Here is a 25,503-nt window from a genome sequence, read left to right on the forward strand (position 1 = left end):
ATCTGGCGCCAGGCTGTCTGGGCTTGAATCCAACCCTCCCTGTCCACCAGCTCTGTCCCCTGGTTTCCTCGTAGGGATGATAACAGTCCTATCTTACAGAGCTGGAATAAGGACTGAGTTAGTCAATTATTTGTAATGCACTTAGAACAGTGCCTGGCACAGTATAAGTGCCACGTAAGTGTTTTCAAAGCAAATAAACTAAAGCCTGTCTGACTCCAAAGCTGGTAATGGTGGAATTTGAGGCCTGCTTTTTGTTCCATTCCCCTATTATAGCAGCAGAATTGGACAAAGATTAAACTCGGATTCTGGATGGGGAACAGAGATTTAGAGGCTGAGGCACCCAGGGACCTCCAGCCACCGTCAGAAACCTCTTGTTAGCAGCCATTCTGAAGAGGGGAATCCATTAGCTTGAGGTTAGGCCAAGAATACTGAGCTCCTCCGGACCCAGCGCTGGGCTCACGTAGGTCAGAGCTCCCTGGTGGCCTACCAGGGTATACCCAGGCAACAATCTAAAAGGTAGTGTGTGCCCCCTCACCCGCAGGCGGGACCTGGCCTGCCTCTCCCATGCTATCATTCCCGCCTGGTGCTCTCCACACCAGCTCCAGTCTTGCTGGCCCGCTGTGGGCTCCTCCACGGGGAAGCTCATTCCTACCTTAAGGCCTTGGCATCCATCTGGAATTCTTCCCCCAAATTGTTACACAGTTAAATCTCCCTCACTCATGTCACCTCTTCAGGACATTTCCTTACAGACACCTTCCTTGATCGTCACTTGGGCTGTAGTGCAAAACAGAAGGCATGCTCAAGTGGGAGTGGCCAAGGAGAGTTTAAAGGAAGGGTTAGAAAGAAGTGAGCCGGATCGGGAGACCATTATGGGATGGGGAAGCCTTTACCATACCTAGGCCTGGGAGGTTGAGTGGGACAAGAGGAGATGAGGAACCTTCTGGAAACCCCCTAACCACCTGCAGGAAGGGACGAGATAAATAAATGCACGTCTCTCTTCAGCTCACTGACCATCTGCCTACCTCCCGTTAATGGAACCGCGACTCACAGGTCAGCCTCCCAGCCAAAAGGGGGGAAGGCTATCGGAAATTACCCCGCGCTTTTTCTTTCCATGTCATTATCTTCTCCTCTTTTATCTTAACAACACCCGCCACAATTATCTTCTTTTGATTTACATGTTTATTGTCTGTCCCGGCCCCCAATTCCCTCTACAATGTAGATACCTCGAGGGCAAGGACTTCCAGGTAGGGTGTGTGTGGGTAGGGTGTGTAGGGTGTGTGTGTGTGTGTGTGTGTGTGTGTGTGTTTCCATCTCTGCGTCCCCAGCGCCTGGCCCAGTGCCTGACGCATAGTAGGTGCACAGTGACTGTTGGTTGACTGCATCGACAGACTAGGACACAGGTAGCCTTCCTGGAGAAGAAAAGCTCATCAGGGTCGTTTTTCTTTTTCTTCTTACAAAAAGATCAGGTGGCTGTGTACTTCCCGGCGCCGGGCCAGGGGCTGCCCCGCCTTGCCCCTACCTCTGCGGCCAGGAAGGACTGCAGGTGCTGCGCGGCCAGTGCCCGCGCGTCCTACTGCTCCGGTGCCGCAGCGCCCGCTCCCCCGGGCCCGGGTGCGCCCCACTGGGCGCGCGTCTCCCATATGATGCCAGACCCATCCGCCCGCCCCTCAGCAGCCGGCGGGGCGCAGGGACGTGCGGGGCGGCCAGCGGATTCCCTCTATCGGGCCGGGTGTGAACGGGAGGGAGACACGCAGCGCTCGCTCCGGGTTATTTTTAGTCCGTAGCTGTGCTCCCCCTCCCCGGGGGCGGAGCGGCCCTCGAAGGTGGGGAGGAGAAGAAGCTCCCGGCGCCTCCGCGCTCGCTCCCGCGGGTCACTCACGGCGCGTTGGAGCCCGGGCGGCGCCGGGAACAGCTGCCGCGGCGTCCTCTAGCAGCGCGCGGCTCTCCCGGGACCTGCGCCGGCCGGGGGCGGGGAGAGGCGGGGAGGGGAGGCCGGCGGGCGGGAAGGGGCGGGGAGCGCGCTCCTGCGGCGGCGACGGCGGCGGCCGTCCTCATCCCGGCGCTTGAGAGGACGCGGGGCTGCGCAAATGGCTTGTCCCGCTCTCGGTCTGGAAGCTCTTCAGCCCCTGCAGCCCGAGCCGCCCCCCGAGCCCGCCTTCTCCGAGGCGCAGAAGTGGATTGAGGTAGGTGCGGGTGGCTGGCGGGCGGCCTTGCACTGGCGCCCTGAGCCACGGACCCGCGCACGCTCCGACCGCAGGTCCAGCCTTGCCTCCCCCCAACCGCCCCCACTTTCTTTTGCCAGCTGCTCCAGGTCACCCCCCCGGGCCTCGGCGAGCCGCGAAACCTTAGCGCTTTGGCATTGGAATCCCGGGCGAGGGTGGGCGTGAAAGGGGACACTGCAGTCTAGCTGCGCGCGTGAGGGCAGGAAGGGATCCCCTGCGCGTCCATCCTTCCTGCCCGCTGGCCTCGCAAATCTCAGCTAGCGCCGCTTCCAGGCGCTGCCAAGGGAAGCGCAGTGCTAGCAAAGCGTTGCAAAGGCGCAGGAAGCGCGAGCCCCCAGAGACTTCACCGGTGCTCGCATTTCGGGGTATCTTGCTTCTGGTCCCACATTTCGCCCCTTGTCCCCCTACCCCGCACCCTTCCGGAGCAGAGTTGGCAGTGTCTTCACGGAGGCGCATACCCACCGGAGCCTCTTGCTGTATTCCTGGCACCGGGTCAGGTGTGAGGCTGGCACAGTGCGCAGGGCGGGGGTAGCTTGCAAGACCCACCTGCGAGCACGCATCCGCATAGACGCTGCCCAGCCTTTGGCAACCCCCGCCCCTCTCCATCCCAAGGACTGCAGGGTCGGTTCCGAAGTACGGGCTACCCGGTCTGGTTGGCATATTTCACTTCTTAAATAACTCGTTGGCAGGCCAGGGAAATCACTGGAGCTCTCGGCTCTCAGTCCCGGAAGCGCTCACTGGGTGATCCTGATTCACGATGTCTATCAGTAGATGCAGCTTGGTAGCCCCGAGCTCCCGAAATGAACTGTCTGCGGGGTTCAGGACGCTTGAAGGGCATGAAGGGGAAAGGTGACCCCCTATGATTAGTGCAAGGAGCCTCAGCTTCAATGGGTGGCCTTTCTGGAGGCTTAGTGGAAGGTATGAATTTGGCCTTGTTTCCCTCAGTGACAAGCAGCCCTCTTTGCCTGGTAGTTCAGAGGAGGAAGTGTATCGCTAAATCATGACCCAGCAATGTTGAAGCTTCCAGAATTCCGCCTGTCACTTAGTGACTCCCCACTCCGTTCAGCATTGTGGTTCCCAAGAAGCTGCTAGAGTAACAAGAGCTCCACGTACAGATTTAAACCTGCTGAGCTTCCTGCAGAAACCACCCTCACTTAATGCTGCTCTCCTGCTCCAGCCAGAGACCTGTACCCTACAGGGTTAACCTGCTTCCCGCAAGCAAGAGTGCTACTTGAGTATAGAAACATCTGTTTGAAAATAGGGTTCAAGAAACAGAACAATGAACATCAGGGCTGTCTTGCTGAAAGCCCCAGGCATGTCTCATAATTTGATAACTCACCATCAGATGAGAAAAAGACCTTGGCTTTTTATTTTTGATATGTGGCTGGAACGGTTTGGCGTGTGACAGGTGCTCTGCCTGTGTTGCGTACTTATGCTCCCAGGATACACAGGAAGCATTTGTAGTTACTGGCTTATTGCAGAGTTGGATAACTATTTTTCAGGTTCTTGAACTCTAAAATTCTCAGGAGAGACTTCGAGTGTGGGTGGGGGTAAGGGGAGGATCTAGAAGCAGAACAGTCTTTACTATTCTTGAAGGCAAGTGATTTATTCTCAATTTCCTTAACTGTATCATTGACATATTCTGCTTTAAAAATGTATTGTGGTATGAGTTACACATGTAAAAGTGCACAAATCTGAAGTGTACACCTCCATGAATTTTGACATATGTATATTACTATAGCCCCCACCTAAATCAAGATACAAAATGTCTCCTTTGGCCCAGATTACAGTTTGCTTTTAAGTGGTAGTATATTTCAGGCTATTATGCAGTGCAGAATATTAGCTTTAATATCACGTTTAAGAAAAGGAAGAAGGGATTCCTTAAGACAGTAGAACCTCATTAAGCCCTATAGACAGTTTGGGATTGTTCTTGATGCTTTACCATTCATACCAATTTAAGAATGTGAAAACCGTAATGGGGCATGCGTGGCTTTAGGACCAGGCAGCCCAGGCGAGCTGCGTGTGCATTATTGAAGTGGCCTATCTCCTTTCAATTGTTGGGTTCAGTTTCAGGGAAAGGAGAGCTTCCCCCTCCCAGGCTATATAAAAAGGTAATTGCTCCAGGGGAAAGATAGAGACCTCCCCCTTCCTTCCCAGAGGTTCTTCTTGAAATGTAAATGCCGAGTCTGCAAACCACGGGAACCCAGAAGTTGTAACAGATGGTTTTGCATGCAGTTGCCTTGTGAACAAAGATTCCTCAGCTAATACAGCAATAATGTAGTACTTAGGGGCAGTGAATCCCCGGGTGGGGGGGCGGATTGGGGATTGGTATCTCGAGACAATTGCAACTCCTCTAGGGGCCCCATTGTCTCTGGCAGCATCCTCATTGGTAGGGCTTTGTTTTTACTTTTATTCAGTTGGTGATTAAATTTCCCATAGGTTTTTTTTCTTTCTTTCTTCTTTTTGAGTAGTCAGGAATTTCACCCTTTCATAAAAATGTTCCCTTGGGTGGAGCAAGTTAATAAACAAACTTTGCTGCTTGTCTCGCCTCGATTCTTGGTCTTCCTTGAGTCATGGATTGGCAAGAAAACATTCATTCTTAATAAAGGCTCAGGGAACCAGATCCAGGACGTAACTTGTTAGTGAGGAATTTCTCGGCGTGCAGCCTTGGCTATTTGAGGACCGTGTTACTGGGCAGGAAATGTGGCCTGGGAACGATTCCCCCACTTCAGCCCCCTTCCCCTCACTCCTTCCTTAGTTGGCAAAGGTGAAAGCTCTAACGGAGCACTAGATGGTCACAGACCACGTGGGGACAGCCCTTTAACACTCCTAGTGACTTTTTATAGCTGTAGGAACAGGTTGCACATCTAACTGTGTTTGGGAAGACTCCTAGAGGAGACAGCAAACTTGAAGTAGTAACTGTGGCTACCAGCAGGCAGGGGAGTGACTAACTTCTTTCCATACTACTTTTCTAGAAGGCCTTACTAAGCAGAACACAGTAGGTGAGAGGTCAGACCTTGGAGCTGGGCATCCTAGGTTTGAGTCCAGAGTCTGTTACTTTGTAGCTGGATGACCCTGAGCAAGCTACTTTTCCTTTACTGTGGTTCCAAATGATTTCTTTGGAAGATAGCTCTAGTTGTTAGCAACAACAAAAATGACTAAGAGTTATTATTGAGAGCATCTGTAAAACAGGATACTAATAACAGCTCACCTATTTCATAGGAGTGCTGTCAGGATTAAATCAATTAATATATTTAAAATGCTTAGAACAGTGCCCAGTACATAGGAAGTGCTGTGTAAGTATGGTTAGTAGTATTATTACCATTATTATTACCACTGCTGTTACTTTTACTACTACTATTATCATTATGATAATTATTACTACTACTGCTATTGCTATTGTTTTTTTCTGTTGTTAATAACAACTAAGGTTGATTTTGAAAGAAATGATTCAGAACACCAGATTTCCCGGGTAGAAAATATGATTCAATTGCCTACTGATTTCATCCTATTATCTCACTCTGTTAACTCTGGATACCTGGAGTCGAAGTTAACTAGATGCTACATGTCACTCTAATTTGCACTAAAAGTGACTTGGGGATCAGAGAAAAACCTTTAATATCTACTCATAAAGTGATCTTGGTAGTCCATCAAAGCTTAGAAAATTATTCTTCAATATTATGCTGAATATGTAAGTTTAATGTATAATCTTTGTTACCAAACTCCAAGCAGAATGCTCAATGCCTCTCCTCTTGTTCTTGTAGATGATCTAATATTAAATCATTATACAAATAATGGGTCCAAATATTCATCTAAATGCAGCAGAATTTTATTCACTGAGGTTGTGTCAACTCCTGCTAGGAATAAGAAGAATTCTTCCATTGATTTTCTTTCCCTCTTCCTCCCTTTTATTATTTCCTTCTTTTTTTTTGGTGGTATTTATTGAGTTACAAGAGTTTATTAGTAGGTTAGATGACTCTGATTTTCCTGATTCCCCGCTTCTCTTGGCCTCACCACCCACAACAATATTTATCTGTTCTAATCTGTGGTTCTTCTTTTCAGTGCCAAACACTTTCTGAAGAAACAGATGTCCTTCGACTTGGTTTCGGTTATGATTTGGAACAGGTTCCCAGGCCTTTAGGGAGGGACTGGAAATTTCAACCCAACTCAGCCTTATTTCTCAACTTGAGAAGTTCCTGGACTCCTTTACCTTCAATCAGAGTGTGCCCATGGGGCTTGGTGATGAATACAATCTTATTTGTGACCTAATCCATACTTCACAAGAGTGAGAACTAGTGCTGGAAGGGATCAGTTTCTCATTTTGGTTCATTCCCTGCTGCCCACATAGAATTGTTTTCTTATTCAGCTGGGACCTAATTCTGAAGATTAAAAACACTGAGGGTATCATAGCTCTCCAAGACCAAAAGATGCTTGTGTTGTTTGGCAGTAGGGAAAATTTATGAATAGCTTTTGAGATAATTTAGCATTTAATGGCCAGTAACATATGACTTTTGTGATGTAATACCATAAGTTATACATGTAGTCATTCTAATTCTCCACCTCTGTAGGGACTAGATTCTTAACATCTTTTTATCCCAACAGGTAGTTAACTTTGCAGATGGTCCTCCAGCTTTGCATAAGTTGCCAAGGAAGAGGAAGAAAAAACTTTTCTGGCTAGATCAAGGAAGGAGTAGTGGTCTGAATAGATATGTAAATGAGAGCAGGCGGCATCTTTCTCACAATGACATTTAAATAGTCTAGCTTGTTTGTATACAAGAGCAGCTATGACACAATGCTGTCACATGGTAGGAAAACAGTGAGGTCCCACAGATTTGGGGAAAGGGGATGCGGAATGGGAGGTGGAGCTGGCACTTCTTGCCCCGGCATCTCCCTGGAAACCAGTTGCATCAGGCGAGCTCCAAAGGGCAGACTGAGCACTGGCTACCAAGAAAGGGAAGGCTGAGCATGTGTTCTCAGCCACTGGGTCTCTTGGCCTCCAGCTCTCTGCTGATGGATGACAATAGAGCCATGATGTAGACAGTTGGCCTTGATTCTGTGAGTGGCAGTCAGTGCTAGGTGGGACTAGGCAGCTCTAGGAGTACTAGAAATTGGCCTGGCAGCTTCTCTTTTTGCTTTAGACCATTCTGAAGCTTAAAAGCATCATAGTTGGGGGATAACATGATGATAAAAATTATGTTAATGATGCTGATGTTGCTGATGATAAAAGGTACTATTTATTGGGTGCTTATTATGTGCCTGCTAAAGTCTATGTACAGTTGGCCCCTCGAAGTGGCGCAAAATACATTTTGTATTTTGTATTTTGGCCTTGATTTTCATGATTCAGGACAGAATCAGTTAACACTGGTTGATTTTTGACCAAACTGTTCTTACTGGAATTAGGTTTTCCTTTTAAGCCCAGTTCACTGTTCTGAGATTTTTTAAAAAGTACAATACAATTTTATAATAGAACACCTCATATGTTCCTTAGGATGTGTGTGTGTTTACATCTGAGGCAGAAGAAAGGTATCAGATATGATCTTTTTTGGAGGAAGGGTAGGGTAGATAAAAGGATGACTTCAGTGCTATTAAATCAGGAAAGGAAGGGATAATAGAACTTTGGTTTTAAGTGATTGAGAAATATAAAAATAGCCTAAACTAGAGGGCTAAAGATAATATAGGGGAAAAATAGTTCTTAAAAAAATGATAGAATATTGGAAAGACTTCTGTCTGGACATAAGATGTTATATTTCAAGGAGGAATGATGCCGTGGAATTCAGTTCTGCTGTGATAAAATTCCATGTTTGCAATATTGAAAACAACACTTCCAAAGAGATGCCCATGCATCTAACCCTGATGGGATGTGTATTAGTTCATTTACATACTGCCATAAAGATACGACCTGAGACTGGGTAATTTATAAAGAAAGGAGGTTTAACTGACTTACAGTTCCACGTGGCTGGGGAGGCCTCAAGAAACTTATAATTATGATGGAAGGCAAAGGGGAAGCAAGACAGGTCTCATATGGTGGCAGGAGAGAGAGAGCAAGCGAAGAGGGAACTGCCAAATGCTTTTAAAACCATTAGCTCTCATGAGAACTCACTCACCATCATGAGAACAGCATGGGGTAACCGCCCCCGTGATCCAGTCATCTCCCTGCAGGCTCCCTGTCCTGACATGTGGGGATTACAACTTGAGATGAGATTTGGGTGGGGACACAGAGCCAAACCATATCAGGATGGCTAGTGTATCTCAGGGAATTACCTTTGGCATCAGGAAAAGGACAGATGATATAGTCATATAAAATGCACCTAAGAAATAACTTGGCTGATACCTTTTCCCACTGTCAGCAAAACTGTGCTCTATGCTGAGACCTTAAGAATAAAATATTGGTTAGGTTGGGAAAGCTCCATGTTTCCACTGTCCTGCATTTTGCCTGTGAGAGTTACTCTAGTGTGGCTGTTGGAGGCTGCAGCTTGGCCTCCTGGTCAGTGTAAGTTAGGGACTGCCCCACCCATTCACCCCTAGATAGCCCATTAGGAGGCCATGGAGGAATACACCTGCACTTGCTTTTAAAATCAAGGTCGGCTAGGTGCGGTGGCTCACGCCTGTAATCCCAGCACTATGGGAGGCCAAGGCTGGTGGATCATGAGGTTTGGAGATCCAGACCATTCTGGCTAACACAGTGAAACCCTGTCTCTACTAAAAATCCAAAAAAAAAAAAAAAAAAAAAAGGAAAGAAAAATCATCCGGGCGTGGTGGCAGGCACCTGTAGTCCCAGCTACTCGGAACGCTGAAACAGGAGAATGGTGTGAACCTGGGAGGCGGAACTTGCAGTGAGCCAAAATCGCGCCACTGCACTCCAGCCTGGGCGGCAGTGCGAGACTCCATCATAAAAAAAAAAAAAAAAAAAAGAAATCAAGGTCAAGAACAGAAGGACTTGTAGCTTTTTCATTTCCATGACTGAAAACTGTTAAAAAAAATTCCTCAGCCTTATTTTTTTGCCAAGTATGTTCACCAAATGGGTCTGCACCAAGTGAGGAACTGAAGTTATATTTATTGCAATGAGTACATAGCTATCTTTTTCTCCCCTCAGAAGTGTTTAAAAAATATTTTGAACAATTATTTTATTTTAATTGAATATCTTATTCCAATTGAAATGGAATGAAAGCGACAATAAGCTCAGTCAAATTGTTAAAATATGAAAATAATTATTTGGGAGACTTGGCTATCACTCATTTGTAAGTTTGCTTCAGTATAAACAGTGGCAAAAATAAGCATTAATATTTTAATGTGTGAAAGTGTGCTTTCAAAAATTATTTCCTGAAAAGTGTTTACTGAGCTCCAACAATGTGCAGCATAGTGTTAGGCATGGTGTTAGGTAATGAACAAAATAAACATACTTCCTGCCCTCATGAAATATACAATGTGGCAGGGGGACAGAGAGATTAAACAATACATATATAATTACGATTTGGAATACATACTATGAAGACAAAGAATGGGGCAGGGGGGATTAAGAGAAAAGCACTCTTTAAAAAGACAAGGATTCTTAGTGAAAATAAGATTTAAGCTAAGACCACGGAAGAATTCTAAGCAGGAGAATTTGATTGATGATGATTTATTGAGAAAAGGGCTTGCGTTGGATGCTACACATACTTTTATTATGATTGTGTTTTGAAACAAGGTAGGGTAGAAACACTCTTAAATTTCTCTAGGTCTATTGAAGGTAGATATGTGTTGGTGGTAGGGCAGGGGGTGAAGGTACCTGCCTCGGAAGTTCTTGAATATTCCTTGCAGGCCACTCAGAGTTTGCATGATGATCCACTGTCCATTTTACATCTGAGGCACAGATAAGAACTCTTCTAAGAAAAATGCGGAGAGGACTTTGGGATTTGTGTTTGAGCCTAGACTCTGGATTAAAATTCTTGGACAAAATAGAGGCTGTAGAGGCTGTACTCCACTCTTAGCAGGAAGGGGCTGCGGGAAACCTGCTTGCTTTTCAGTGAGGGAAGAGAGCCATTTTGTGTGAGACTTAGGGTGGTGACCCACAGATGTCTTCTCATTTGGGAACTTTTCCCAAATTCTTCCAAAAGAGGGGGCTTTATAAACTACTAAAGCCAGGTGCCCTTTGGGATCCTCATAAATTGTAAACCCTGGAGGTCCTTGACTGAGATTCCTTTCAACACTTGAACTACCATTCTTAGACCCCCTCCCCCATCTTCCCAGTCTAACATGGCTGCTGGAGAGTCGTGATCACATCACCTTTCCAGGAAGCTGGATGGAGGCAAGGAAAGTGAAGAGTGCATCCTTCCCATATAAGGTGGCTTCTGGGAAACCCTTTCTGACATACTGGCTACTATTTTATTGCCCAGAACTTCAGGAACATGGCCCTTTCTGTATATAGGAGAGACTCTGGAGAAGGATCTTTTACCCCAGGCAGGAGTAATGCTCAGATAATATTCTTGAGTTGTATTCCTCAGGAAAAAGGGGAGAATGGCTATTGGGGTAGCCACAACCTGGAATGCCCCTTCTCCACTTCTCCAGGGACAAATCCTTTCAAGATAGAGCTTAAACCCGACTGCCTCTGCAGCATGGTCCCTGATTCCTCTAAGCTCATTAATCCTTCCCTTCTTTGTACACACCTGAGCCTCAGTTTTTGCCTTTTTTTTAGAAAAGTTGCTGTATTTTACTATCACGAATTTTTTTTGTGTGTGTGTGTGGTGGGGGGATTTGCCTCCTTTGGTGAACCCCAGAGCCCTGTGGCCAAGGACTGCGTCTTAGTCATCACCCTGTTCCCTCCTTGTTTCAGCCAGGCTGTTCCTCACTAGGGCCTCACAGCCACATTTCCCCACTGCCTGAGCGCTTTCTCAGTGAGTCTGTGCCCAGCTACGGTTGCCTGATTGGCACTTGGACTTGGCTGTGGCAGAGAAAATAGACTCTGTTGCTGCCCTGACAGGAAGCAAAGTGTGTGTGTGTGTGTGTGTTTTGTAGTGATTAAAAAAAGCAGTTTACCCAATAGTTGCCTGGAGACAGTCAGTGATTGGACACTCGGAGGGTGATTTCTCTGTTGGCCCTTGGGTGAAGATATTCTTTAGGGTGCTAACCCTCCCCTCAAGTTAGACTGGGTCAGGGCTCGTTGGAGTTCCTGGCTGCAAGGCGGGAGAGCAGACATCTCTTTTCTTTAAATAAACATGCCCCCAGCATTCGGCCTTAGGGCTCTCACCTTCTCTTTCTTTCCCTAAGTCAAAGCAAACCTCTCTTTCACCTGTTATAGAAGTCTAGCTAATTCCCACTTCTTAGGATGAGGGAAAGATAGAGCACTTCCAATGATAGTGAATCTAAAAAGAAATGGAAGAATTTTTATTATAGTGGTCACCTGTATGAGTTCTTATTAGACAGGTATTTTTAAAGGAAAAAAACCCAAAATAACTGACTAGTAGCTGGTATCCATGGTATCAATAAATGGCCACGGCTGTGACTGTTAATTGTCATGACCCAATGGGAGCACTGAGAAATAGCATCCCCTCTTCTTTTCCTATGGAAAATTAAAAAAAAAGTTGCCTGTGGAGCTGAATGTTGTCATCAGCCAACAGATGAGGTTGCCACCTTTTTCCCTAAGGGACCATGCAAGATGTCATAAATAGGAGGGGCCAGTGACAAGTAGAAGCCTGATTCATTATGCTGTTAGAGTTGACAGAGTGTGATAATAGTGATAAAAATGGCTAGTTCAGTGCCAAATAAAAATAACAGCAAACACACTTCTGGAACACTTACCATGTACAAGCGGTAGTCTAGGAGCTTGCTTGAGTGGTAGTGTAGGTGCTTGCATGAGGTGGTATATTGTGTATAGAACAAACACCCAGCACAGTGCCTGATATATAAGATACTTCTCAAGCAAGCACTGTTTATGGCCGTTTTACAGATGGGAAAATGGAAGCACGGAAATGGTAAGTGATATGCTTGAAGCCACACAGATAATCAGTGGCAGAGCTGGGATTTGAACCCAGGCAAACTGGTTCCAGAGCTTGGACTGGTGACTGCTGTGTCCCGCTGCCTTATCCTTAACAGCTGCTCCGTATATATTTACTTATTGGAAAAAGTACCTTTGCAGAGTTAGTATTTGGGACCCTTTAGAAGTAAAAGCGAAACTTCTAAAAAGATCATGGTCCCAAGTAACTACCTAACCAAGCAGGTGACCTGCCTCTCTCCTTCTCTCTCTTCATTCCCTTAATGGTTCAATATGCTGTTTATTGAGCATCTTCTATATACATAGCACCGTTAGTTGCGAGGAAACAATTTCATCCATATGGCTCCCAAGCACATTCTCTGAAACTGGAACCCTTTCAATATGTTTTAAAAGATAATTGTCAGTAGGGTGGTTAGGACCATGATGAAAAATCATTACAGGAGCCCAATGAACCATCATCAGTGGGTGGAACCATTTTTACTCCCTTTCACTTCACGTCTATTTCCCCAGTCTTTTTCTCCTTGATTGGAACCTGACTCCCCCACTGGATTCAAATAGTCCTTGATGCTGAGATCCAGACTGGAATGATTATAAACAAGGGGAAGGAAAATGTGGATTTAGGGTGCCTCCCTGCCAGGCACCGTTAGTTCTTTGCGTATGGTATTCTGTTTAGTCTTTGTGTAACACAGGTATCTGCTGCCCCCGTCCCAGTTTGAAGTTCTCTACTGTGCCTGTTTCAATAAATTTCACCCATGTTAAGACTGGCAGGCCTGATCCCACGTAGCTCCTGAGTCCCCACATAGTGCCCACATGATAGTTCTTCTTTTGGCCTCATCTGGCACCTCCCAACAGCAGCTCCACTCTTAGACCTCTCATGTGGCACAGGCTCTGGCATTCTGAACAAATATAGTTGGCTATTTTATAATGTCGGTTTCTGTAATGAGGATTATTACATATGCGATTGGGAAATAAGAGAAGCATGCTTGGTAAGGTGCAAGTTGCGATGGTTCATGTGAGATTTTTATTAACACTTGCGTATTTTGTACCACCAAATAGCAGTAGTTGAAAACAAAATAGGATAGTAGAGGTGAACACAACCAGCCAGGGAGGTGAACACCCCTCTTTTTGCTCTAGACTCCATTTGGCTTTGTGTTGATTGAAACGTCTGCTTTTCCCAGATCTTTCTGCATTTTCCTCTCATCTCCATAATGCAGCAGTCTCGGTCTTTCCTCACACCCTTCCACCATGCGCTCTTGCCCCCCACCTTTTTGTGTAATCTTCCGTTTGTTCTGTAATAGGAAATAGAAAACATCTTTTTATGTGTGCTGGTAATTTTTAGTGTTCTTGTTTTTGTTACTGCTCTGGTTACAAAGTTGAGTAGGGTTTGGGCCTTTTACATGAACTCTGTATTTTCCACAAGCCCTGTTATTTTTAGTGTGAGATTTTGTAGGATACAAGGTTTTTGGCTGGCTGTCTTAGTTTGGGACATTATTCATACATTTACAGGAATATGGATACTGTTTTATGGTAGAAATACATAGATATTAATAGTTTGGGCAGATAGTATCTCTCACACACTTACCCACACAGATGCATACATAAAACAATACCTTGAAGATTCCCAGTGCTGGAGCCTGGGATCTTGGGTCATATGGAAAATGTTTTCTTTAGGAATTTCACATTTCCTATCTGCTATCAGAAGACCTTGGACAACATTTCCAGGAGAAGCTTCTGTTGCCTTTGGAGGAGGTAGTTGAATATTGTCTGTGTGTGTGTTTTTCTGATCCATTTTTCTTTGAGATTTTGTGCCTGGGTACTACATAAAGCAGCACTGTTTTCATCCAGGAAACCTACAGGAGTTACTTATTGTGAGTGAGAAGCTTAAGTGAGTTGGAAATGAGGAAACTGAGACTTGAGGGTTGGCAATTTGTCTGAGGGTCAGTGACTTCTTGGCTGCGATTATTCCTGTTCTCTGGAGCCCTTTCTACACCAGTATATGAGTATTGGCAATTTGTCTCCGTTTGGGACATCATTCATTCATTCATCATATAGTTATTGAGCGTGTCCTAGGGACTCAGTAGTATGAGAGACAAATGTGAGATTTCCATTCCACCTGGAAGGATGGACGCTGAGCACAGAATCACGCGTGTGATGCATGCTTGGAAAGGGAAGAGCAAGTTGGTCTGGAACACAAAAAGGGCCGGGATCTCCTTTGGTCTAAGGGGCAATGGGACAGCCTCTCTGAGGAAGTGCTATGTAAGCTGAGACCCCAAGGATGAGCAGGGGTTGGCCATGCAAAAATGAGCAAGAAATCATGTTCTAGGCAAACACTTCAGGCTGTAGTGTTTGCCTTAATGGAAGAGCTGAAGAAGACCAGTAAGGCAGGAGCTTTGGGAGTAGGTATGAGGGAGGTGCAGGATGAAGCTAGAGTGGGCTGCAGGAAAGCTGCATGGTCCTGGCACCGAAGATAGGAATCCTCCGTGCTTCTTGGCCCGGCCTGGGCCATGGCTGGCCTTGTCTGGGAGGACAGCAGTTGGATTTTCTCCAAACTCTCTCAAATTACTATAGTTCCTGACAAAAGAATAGAAACATAGCTAACATTTATGAGAGCTTATGGCCTGGCAAATTCTGTCCTAAGCACCTGACTTTTCAACCATCCTATGAGCTAGCTACAAACTCTTATTACTCCCATTAAACCTAGAAATGAGTGAATGGCTAAGGGTTTTACGGTCATTAGGTGGTAGAGCTGATCTTCAAACTCATGCAGTCTGGCTGCTTTACCTGTGCTCCTAACCACCATGCTATGGGGTGTGATATGGTTTGGATTTATGTCCCTGCCCAAATCTCATGTTGAATTGTAATCCCCAATGTTGGAGGAGGGGCCTGGTGGGAGGTGACTGGATCATGGGGGCAAATTTCCCCCTTGCTGTTCTTGAGATAGTGAGGGAGCTCTCACGGGATCTGGTTGTTTAAAAGTGTGTAGTACCTCCCCCTGCTCTCTCTTCCTCCTGTTCCTACCATGCAGGACATGCCTACTTCCCCTTCTGCCATGATTGTAAGTTTCCTGAGTCTCCCCAGCCATGCTTCCTGTAGAGCCTGCAGGACTGTAAGCCAATTAAACCTTTTTTCTTTATAAATTACCCAGCCTCAGGTAGTTCTATATAGCAGTGTGAGAACAGACTAATACAGGGTGCAAATGCAGGCTGTTGACCAAGGGTGTCTGTGAGGGATATTGATGAGGGGGAACAGCAGTAAAGAGCTGGGGGCAGGAGGGTAGAGGTAGGGGATGCCTAAGGATGCTGGAGGCCAGTGTTGGCTTTAGACATGTTTTCTGTATTTTAAAAGAAACTCCAAAAATAAGTCCTCTCACCTTGACAGTTTTGCCACCTGGGAAGGAGAGTGATTGTATAGAAAGAGTGCTCCAGGCATCTCCCAAACCCCACATTCTAATGCATGGGGACTCTGGTTCCCAAGCAGCCTGATGAACCCTGGTATTGCTCTGACATGATAGGCCACTCATTTTTAACTTCCATCAAGAGTTGTAAGTAGTATGATATATTTAAAAATGTATTTCTTATTTTATTTTAAACTCTGTGTGTGTGTTTAATAATTTTTTTCATTCAATTTTTTTTTTTGTTTTAGTTAGCATTCTTATGGTTGCAAGCAACAGAAATCCAACCAAAACTGGCTCTAAAAAATAGACAGTTGATTGCTCATTGACGTTCTGGAGGTAGATCCCTACTTCATACAAAGGCTGACTCAGCAGCTCAATGATATCAGTAAGGATCTGGATTCTCTCTCTCTTTCCACCGTGCTGTGCATTGTGTGGCTTTATGCTCTGGCTTTACATAGGGCCTCCACACCTGCCCTACCCCACTTCAGAAGGTCCAGGCTTTTCCACTAAAGGCTGGCTGGGAAAGAGCGACTCCAGTCCTCAAGTTCTCTTTACACCCTCTGGGCAGAGAAAGAGGACACATTCTCATTCATGATCACCAGGGAAATAGATGAGTTGATTAGCCTAAGCCAATCAGACTTCACCCTGGTCCGTCCCTATCAAAGATGCTGGCTGCTACCCAACAGAGAAGCAGTGAATTCCCTAGAGGAAAATCTGGGTACTTTTAGTAGAAGAATGGGTAAAGTGGATGCCAAAGAGGCTACCACCAATTGTTACTAACATTTTATTAAAAATGTGGTAATATACAAGAACACACAGATGATAAGGGAAGGAAGGAAATAATTAAAATGAACTATTCAGAACACTGACTACTTCTTGGAGGTGAGTATAAGATTATAAGCTGGGAGTGGTTAAAAAGAGGCATTAATAGATTGTTTTACTCCTATTTTTATAAGACTAGAACAGTGCTATTTTTAGAGGTATCACTGAATGTCAAGTGCCCAACCCATACCTAATGGGTTCTATTAGGTGTAAAAATGTGATTGAATGAACTGGATTGATTTTTAAACTGTTGATTAAAAAAATAAAGATGTTCATCCTGGGTACTTCAACTCTCCTTTCTTCCCAATATATATAAACCTTTACACTGAATTACTGTAACTTTAAAAAAATGTTATAAATTAAAGTATCCAATACCAGTATCTGATTTTTTTCCCATTTAATTTCATATTTCTCAGGTAAAGATATCTATTTTTTGGAGCCTGAAGCCTAGAAATAGCAAAACCATGCAGTTGCTGTTCACCGGACACTCCGGGTCCAGGGGGTGTGCAGCTCTGTGCCTGAGCAGTCCCCAGGCATGTGGGGCTTTTCTAAAAGTGGATACAGCGGCTGTCGCCCACTGATCCTCTGTGCTGAGTGACCCAGATTGGCACAGCGCAGCTGGGTCCTACCCAGGGCGAGTACGGGAAAGAGGAGTAAAAATAAAAACTGGTTGGGCAGCTTAGGTGGAGTCAGGATACTTGAAAGCTCACAGGTTACTTTGCTAATTCTTGGGCAGATTTTTCCTTTTTTCTTTTTTGAGGGGATAGTGATGATTCCAATGACAGTTTTCTAGATTTCTTGGATTTGACAAAATAGTTTCATACAGAACAGCAAAATGAAGTATGTAGAAAATATGTTTTTTGAGATTAGAACATTTGCCCTTGACATGAGTTTCTTATTTATCCTATTCAACATTCAAGTCTCCAATAAAGTTTTCCCCAAAGGTATCTCTTTTATGGAGTTACTTTCTGAATGAAGACATTTCTGTCTTTTTTGTTAATAGAACGAAATGTACTTGCCATTATAGTTTCTATATAGTTTTCTATGTTATCTAAGAAAAATGAGTAAGAGTGTTTAGGTATGGTGTCAAGTTACCCACCCAGAATAGTTGTTCAATCTCTGCCACTGTTTGGCATTTTGACATTTGTGTTTTTAAAGTGTAGTAGATTTGCTAATTTTTGAAGCTTTGGTCCTTACTATTAGAAATTTTGAGGTTTTATTTTTGGTGTTTGACCAAGGGATTTTTTTAAAATGCAAAAGCAGATTTTATGTAATGTTTTCCTCAGTTATGGATAGCTTTGATAAACTATATGAAATTTTTTCCCTCCTGAATGCTTTGTGGCTTTTACTGTAATAATCTTTCTGTGATCTGTAGACCAATAATTAAATCTCCAAATGGCCTTTACCTTGCAATAGCAATTGAAAATAATATTAAATATTTATACTTAAAATATATGGGAAATGTGGATATAACTTCTTTTAAAGATAAAATGTCCTTAAAATACCCTAGTAGTAGGAATACCCTAGGGTAAGACATATTTCTGGGAAAAAGAATTTTCTGCAATGTTTACCTCATGACACTAATTTGGAACTAGAGTTCTTCTAAGAAATTTCTTACGTTTTCGTTCATTAAGTTATTTATTTATAAAATCTATTAAGAGACTGCTAATAGCTATGGGTTTCCTTTTGGGGTGATGGAAATGTTCTGGAATTGGATAGTGGTGATGGTTGCCCATATGCAGTACTTAGTGAAAAACTAAAATTTTTTTAATTATAAAAGGGTGAATTTGATGGTATCTGAGTTATATCTTAACAAAAAATCTGCTACGAGCTCTTAATGTTTTAAGCATGATTTTGAGCTCCCAAGGTATGTAAACAAGCACATGAAATTAAGACTTTCAGATGTATGTACAATATTGCAGCATAACAAACCACCCCCAAACCCAGTGGCAGATGGCAATGGTATATTTTATTTTTCTTGCTCACGGGTTGAAGGGTCAGCTTGAGCAGCTCTGCTTCAAGCTGTGGATTGGCTGCACTTGGCTCAAGGCTGTGGGTTACGTTCAAGTCTGTTTCATGTGTCTCCTTTCTTCTTGGACCACAGACTACCTGGGAGATGCTCTCTTTATGGCAAATGAATGACAGGTGCACCAGAACCCAGCCAAAACCATGCAACAAATGGTTTTAAAGTCTCCACTTGCATCACATCTACTCACATTCCACTGCAAAAACAAGTGATATGGCCAAGTCCAAAGTCAGTGGGGCAGGAAAGGGCATTCTGCTCACAGTGCGAGGGGAGAGGAGTGGATATTTTTCCAGTAATACTCTCATCTACCGCAAAGTCTGTTCAGGTTTCCTTGGTGCTGCAAAGGAAGATGTGAACATTCTCCCTGGGTATTGGAATGTTTGAGAGATGGGCATTGGGTTCCTTGGTGCCTTGGTTTGTTTTCTGTTGCTATAACTAAATACCACAGGCTGGGTAATGTACAAAGAAAATAAATTTATTTGTTACAATTCTGGAGACTGGGAAGTCCAAGGTTAAGGGGCTGCATATAGTGAGGGGCGTTCTTGCTAGTGGAGACGCTGCAGAATCCCAAGATGTTGCGGGGCATCACATGGCAAGAAGGGCTCACTAGAGACGGCCAAACTGGTTTTGGTAAGAGACCCACTCTTGTGATAACTGACCCACTCCCTTGGTAACCCATTAATCCATTAATTCATGAATGAATTAATCCAATCATGAGGGCAGAATGCTCATGACCAAATCACCTCCCAAAGGTTCTATTTTTCAACACTGCTGCACTGGGGACCAAGTTTTCAACACATGAATTCTGGGGTACACACTTAAGTCATAGCACTTGGGTTGAGTCTTGAAAAATTAGCAAGCATTGTCAGTTGGATGGGGCAGTAAGGGTGAGGAGAGGTGACAGCAATGGCTAGACCTCGAAGGGAACATGAGCAGAGGCATGGAGGTGTGTGGTAGCAGAGTGCACTTGGGAAGCAGCAGAGCTGGGACATAGCACATGGAGAGTGCTGCTGGAAGAAGACACACTGGGTCACATCAGCAGAGGCCTTGTGTGCCATGCCTGAGGGTTTGGTGTTGGAACTAAATGGGCTGGGCTCAGAGTCAGCCTGAATCGCAAACTTGGCTCTGCCATTTACTAATGCTATGACTGTGGGGGAAGTTATTTGGCCTCTCTGTGCTTTACCTCTTAATCTGTGAAATGGTGAGGGTATTTTTAGCACCTACCTTGTGAATTGTGATTAGGATTAAATAAATTAATATACTCAGTGCTTGATATAAAGTCAAGTGCTCAATAAGTTTTGGCTGCTGTTAGTATTTTTTAATGGAGTTTAGATTTTATCTGTAAGCAATGGGGTATGACTTAAAAGTAAGAAAGGGATGTGATTATATTTTGGCAAGAAGACATTGGTGGTAGTGTAGGGGATGATTACGATGGCCAGCATGGAAGCAGGGAGGCCATAGGGTTGTTGCAATAATAGAGGTAAGAGGTGATGATGGCAACATCAGTGGGAATGAATGTGAGAGATGTTAAAGGTGTAAAAATGATGAGACTTAGTGACTGAGTGGATGTGTGAGGTGAGAGAAACAGAGAAATCCAGGGAAAGGAGGAACAAAAGATTGTAGTAGGATTTGTTTTGTTCTGTATTTAAGGATGGGAGAGACTTGGACATATTAGAAGGCCTTGACGAAGGGGTAGAGAGGGAGCCATTTATTATATAACAATGAGAAGGAATGATGGATAAAACAAGTTCCTGAGACATTCAGAGAGGGAGTTGAGAGTAGGTGTAAATAGTAGAAGGGACACTTTAGATACTTGTCAAGAAAACTGTTAAAAGTTTTTTGATGGTGATTTAGTTATTGGTGCATAATAGATTAGCCCAAAACACAGTAGCTTAAACCAACAAGTATTTATTATTTTATAGTTTCTATGAGTCAGAAATTTGGGAATGATTAGTTAGATGGTTCTGGCTCGGGTTTTTCTTGAGGTTGCAAACAAGATGTTGGCTGGGCAGGTGTCATCTGAAGGCTTGACTGTGGCTGGAAGATCTGCTTCTAAGATGGCTCCCTCATGTGCCTGTATGCAGGAGGCCTCAGTACTTTGCTGGCTGTTGGCAGGAGGTATTAGTTCCTGTCATCTAGGCCTCCCTGTGGGGCTGCTTGTGTGTCCTTATAACATGGCAGCTGACTTCCCCTAAAGTGAATGATTCAGGAGAGCAAAAAGGAAGGCATGGTAGGACCTGGCTTCAGACTTCACATGTCACCATATCTGCCAACTTATCTGCCACTGTATCAGCCACCATAACTTCCTAAGAAGTTAGTCATTAAGTACAGCCCACACCCAAGAGGAGAGGAATTAGACTCCACCTTTTGAAAGGAGGAGTATCAAAGAATCTGTGGACATATTTTAAAGCCATCATAAGTGGCTACACGATCAATATGTAATTTTAACTGTAACTGGTCATTTATCATGTTTTATATATAAGGGATTCAATATTAGATATTCTGATACTAAGTCATTTGTCTAGTCCAGTCTATTTAGATAAATGATGACGGTAAGATATTCTCTCTAGATATATTTTCCAAAATAGGTCTAGTATTTTATTTATTTATTTATTTTTATTTTTATTTTTTTGAGACAGAGTCTCGCTGTGTTGCCCAGGCTGGGGTGCAGTGACGCGATCTCAGCTCACTGCAACCTCCATCTCCTGGGTTCAGGCAGTTCTCCTGCCTCAGCCCCCTGAGTAGCTGGGATTACAGGTGTGCACTACCACACCTGGCTAATTTTGTATTTTTAGTAGAGATGGGGTTTTGCCATGTTGGCCAGGCTGGTCTCAAACTCCCTGACGTTAACCTCAGGTGATCCACCCGTTTTGGCCTCCCAAAGTGCTAGGATTACAGGTGTGAGCCACCATGCCCAGCCAGGTCTAGTATTTTAAACACCACCACTACCACCACCACCAAACAATATAGGAATAAAAATGCTTCCACTCTGAAATCCCACCTGATATAGGTAATCACTGGTAATATGCACTATTTATATTGAAACTCATGTTACTGAAAGTTTTGATTAGTTCTGGAAACTTTTATTTAAACAAAATCTTACAGAGATTTGATATCTTCTTTTCTTTTCTTTCTTCTTTCTTGTAGAGATGGTATCTCACTTTGTTGCCTAGGCTGGCCTTGATCTCCTCCTGGCCTCAAGCAATCCTGCCCTGGCCTCCCAAAGTGCTGGGATTACAAGCATGAGCCACTGCACCCAGCCTGAGATTTGATTTGATATTTTCTTTTCTTTCTTTTTTTTTTTTTAGATAAGCATGTAATAATAATTACTGCCTCCCTGCTAGTGGAGAGCTCTGGCTCAGCAGTTCTCAACTCTGGCTACACATTAGAATTATTTGGGAGCTTTTGATTTAAAATGATCTGGATCAGGGCCTGAGCATTGTTATTTTATAGACATTTTCCCCCAAGTGATTGCAATGTGCAGCCAGGGTGGAGAACACAGCAGATGACAAAATAAGTGAGTAAGTTGCACTGGGCGATATTGGCAGATCTAAGATTTAAAACTTGTTTGAATGATTATTTATGTGGGGGTGTGTGAAGAGATGTGCATCCAGGGAATACAGTTATATTCTGTCTGCCAACAACATCATTCCTAGTTCACATGATGGAATAAAATAATCAGTATTTTATGGCATACTATAAAGAGTAGTAGAATGTTCTAGATACCTGAGCAGATTTGACCACAGCTTCTTTAGGAGAATCTTCTTATTTTCTGCACTGAATCATAGGCATTCCTGAGTGTAAAGTCATATCACAATCAGTTATTCTTTGTACAAATGTCCTAATTTATTCATTTATTCAATAAACAGATCTTGAACACTTACTGTGTGCCAGGTAGGTGCATTTAATATCCAAGCCACTGAATGCCAGGCACTGAATGCCCAAGGAAGAACTTAACCTTATTCTTAAACTAATATCTTAATATAGATTCTAGCACCAAGTGAGTGATTCTCAGTCCCATAGAGGAGACAAACAGGTGCACAAAAGTGGAGGCCAAGGTAACTAAATTTAAATAACTGTACAGCACAGCACCAACCAATCAGAGCAGACCCAGTGACAGTAGTGCCTGCCATGGTGAATACCGGCTGTCTGTCAGCTCCAAGTATCGGTAATACGAAGTGCAGTATTTTAAACACCCAAAGAGGAATGTAAACAAGAGGGAGCAGAGAGAAGGGAACCACTTTTATAATTCCAAATTCATGTTTCCCTCACAGAGGGAGCTGAATTGGTGTGGTTGGCTATACCAGTTTTCCATCCTGTCCTGTGTACATACCCCTTGCCAAGTGACTGCCGTTCTTCTCCCTGAAGAGGTGGAGTCTGTTTCCTGACTCCTTGGATTCGGGCAGGCCCTCTGACTTGCTTTGGCCAGTAGAATGCAGCAGAAGTGATGAGGTGCCTGTTCCAAGCTTAGGCTGTAAGACACCTTGGGTAATTCTGCTTGTTCTTTCTCCTCTGTCATCGCTGTGACAAGATGCCCCAGATGGCCTGCTGGAGGATGAGAGACCTGGACAAAGCCAAATTGCCCCACTTGCCCCAGACAAGGCTATCCTAGATCAGCTAATAGCCAGCCAGCACCTACAGTGAAGTTTCTCAGCAGAAGCACTTTGACATTAGGGGTTGGATCATTGTGTTTTGGGGAGCTGTTCATTTTAGGATGGTTAGCATCATCCCTGGCCTGTACTCACCGGATCCCAGTAGTACCCCCACTGCCAAAGGTGTGACAACCAAAAATGTCTCCAGACATTGCCAGATGCCCCCAAGGGGCAAAACATCCTCTGATTGAGAACTTGTGCTCCAGACTTATGAGTGCGTCCAGCTAAGATCAGCAGTGCTACCTAGTTTCTGACCGCAGATACATGAGCAGTAAATGCCTAGTGTTGTTTACCACTGAAGTGTGTGGATATTTGTCTCATAGCATTGTTGTGGAATAGGTAGCTAATACAGTGATCAAAAACATGGAAACATGGAAGTGGGAGATGGAACTGGACAATTGGAAGTAGTCCAGTTGGGTGGGAACTTGACAAGTAGATTTGTAGGTAGAGTTGGGTTAGTGTGAAGTACAGACGAGGCTAGAAAGCTAGGGTAGGCTGTATCCGTGGAGAATTTAGGTGCCTTGGTATGAACTGGGGACACGGTTATTCATGGGCGGGGGAGGGAGGGGTGCTGTCAGAGGTTTTAGTTATGTATTTATAGCCAAGGAAACAGGGCTATGAGTTTGTACTGTAGGCAGCAGTAGGGAGGGGGAATTGGAAGCAGGAGGGAGGGCTCTGCAGTAGTTCAGTTGATGCATACATAAGGCCTGAATTAGGGAATTAGGAGAGTGATCATAGGTGTGGAAAGGAGGGGAGGGCTTCCAGGCACATTTGGTGTAAAATGGATACAACTTGGTAACCTGTACATTGCTACCTTTGCACATTTGGTTTCCCCTGTCTCAAAGGCTCCCTCTTCTCGAGTGTTGCTCTACTCAACCATCAATACTCAGCTCAACACTCAGGGAAGTCTTTTTGGTAGTCTTCCACGTCTCGTGAAGGCAGAGCTTATATGGCTGTCACCATTGTTTTTTTGATACAGAGTCTTGCTACCATCACCCAGGCTGGAGTGCAGTGGCACAATCTTGGCTCACTGCAGCCTCGACCTCCTGGGCCAAGCAATCCTCCCACCTCAGCCACCCAAGTAGCTGGGACTACAGGTGCATGCCAGCACACCTGGCTATCTTTTGGTATTTTTTAAGAGGTGAGGTCTTGCCACATTGGCCAGGCTGGTCTTGAGCTCCTGGGCTCAATCGATTCACCTGCTTCAGCCTCCCAAAGTGTTGGGATTACAGACGTGAGCCACTGTGCCCAGCCATGCTAATCTTTTTATCATTGAATTGTCCATCTTATATTTGAACTAATAATCAGTTGTAAGTCTGTCTCTTCCATATTATTAGCTGCTAATTCACTTAGTAAGCACCCTTTCTATGTTTGGTCTGGAGGTAGGTGCTTGGGACACACTGGTGAGTTAGAGAGATATATAATTGCTGATTTCTTGAAGCATGTGGTCTAGTGGGGAGACACACAGATAAACAGGCAATTACTGTACATGCTGTAATGGGGGAAGTAAAGAACGGTTTAGGAACATATAGGACAGACAGCCTGGAATGTGTGGGTGCCAGTGAAGACCTCATGAGGAGCGAAGTGATGAAGGGGTTGGATGTGGTGTGGGAGGAGTTAAAGCCAGGGATCTGTGGGCTTTGTGGCTCTGGATTAAGAGAAAACTGCACATCTGAGGAAAAGAAGAAAATTCAACATCATTTTAAAGGGTCTTGTAAACTATGATCAGAGCTGTGTTGGGAAAAATCTTTGATTGATTTTCAATCCTGGCTGCACAACAGAACCATTGTATGGCGCTTTTAATAGTAGAGGGAACTGGGCCCCACTCCAAGCTTGTTTAATTACTATGACCAGAGTGTGTGGCTCAGATATATATCTATATCTATAGATCTATCTATATATATGTCTATATGTATGTGTATGTATATATTTAAGGCTCCATAGGTGATTCTGGTGTGTGACCAGGGTTGAGAGCTGTAGGGCTCTCTCTGTGAACACTGTGAAGAATGACATTTAAGGGATGAATAGAAAGAGGAACCTGCAGAGAAACTGAGATAGGGAAGTGAGAAACGTGGACAATTAAGTGGGAGAACTCCTAGTTGTTAAATGTTGAAGACAACTAATAGTATCAGCAGCTAAGGCAAGAGGAATTTTCAAGAAGGAAGGGAGGAACACAATTGTCAAATGCTGCCAGGAAGGCAAATAATGAACTGAAAAGTGACTGCTGAATATGGCTAAAAAGGTTGTTAGAGATCTAGGCTGGAGCATTTCAGTAGAATGGTGGGGCAGAAGCCAGACTGCAGGGGGCTGAGCAGTGAGTGGGAGGTGAGAGGGATTAGACAGTGAGGGGTCCTTCACATTACATCCTGCTTTCTTTTTTTTTTTTGAGACGGAGTCTTGCTCTGTCACCCAGGCTGGAG

General features: G+C 44.4%; 1 protein-coding gene across 39 annotated transcripts in view, besides 1 other annotated feature; it reads left to right on the forward strand.

Annotated features, from left to right (window-relative positions):
• Positions 1-853: 853 nt before the first annotated feature.
• Positions 854-25,503, forward strand: part of LIMCH1 (LIM and calponin homology domains 1) — a 340,438-nt gene continuing 315,788 nt past the window's right edge. For 38 of the 39 annotated variants that reach the window (XM_011513642.2, XM_011513644.2, XM_011513646.2 and 35 more), the window contains exon 1: positions 2,054-2,183. In XM_011513642.2, the coding sequence (XP_011511944.1) occupies positions 2,088-2,183 (96 nt within the window). In that variant the 5' untranslated portion in view covers positions 2,054-2,087. Of the gene's footprint in view, positions 1,051-2,053; positions 2,184-25,503 lie in introns of those variants that run through there. The other variant, NM_001289124.2, reaches the window with a different exon arrangement.
• Positions 4,071-4,732: an enhancer, noted in NCBI's record as "OCT4-NANOG-H3K27ac hESC enhancer chr4:41364841-41365502 (GRCh37/hg19 assembly coordinates)". NCBI's record gives its function as "activates a minimal SCP1, AML or CMV promoter by ChIP-STARR-seq in naive and primed H9 embryonic stem cells {active_cell/tissue: H9 hESC(naive and primed)}" and the evidence as "EXISTENCE:reporter gene assay evidence [ECO:0000049][PMID:30033119]".

Source organism: Homo sapiens, chromosome 4 (genome assembly GCF_000001405.40).
Source record: "Homo sapiens chromosome 4, GRCh38.p14 Primary Assembly".
Lineage (NCBI taxonomy): Eukaryota > Metazoa > Chordata > Mammalia > Primates > Hominidae > Homo > Homo sapiens.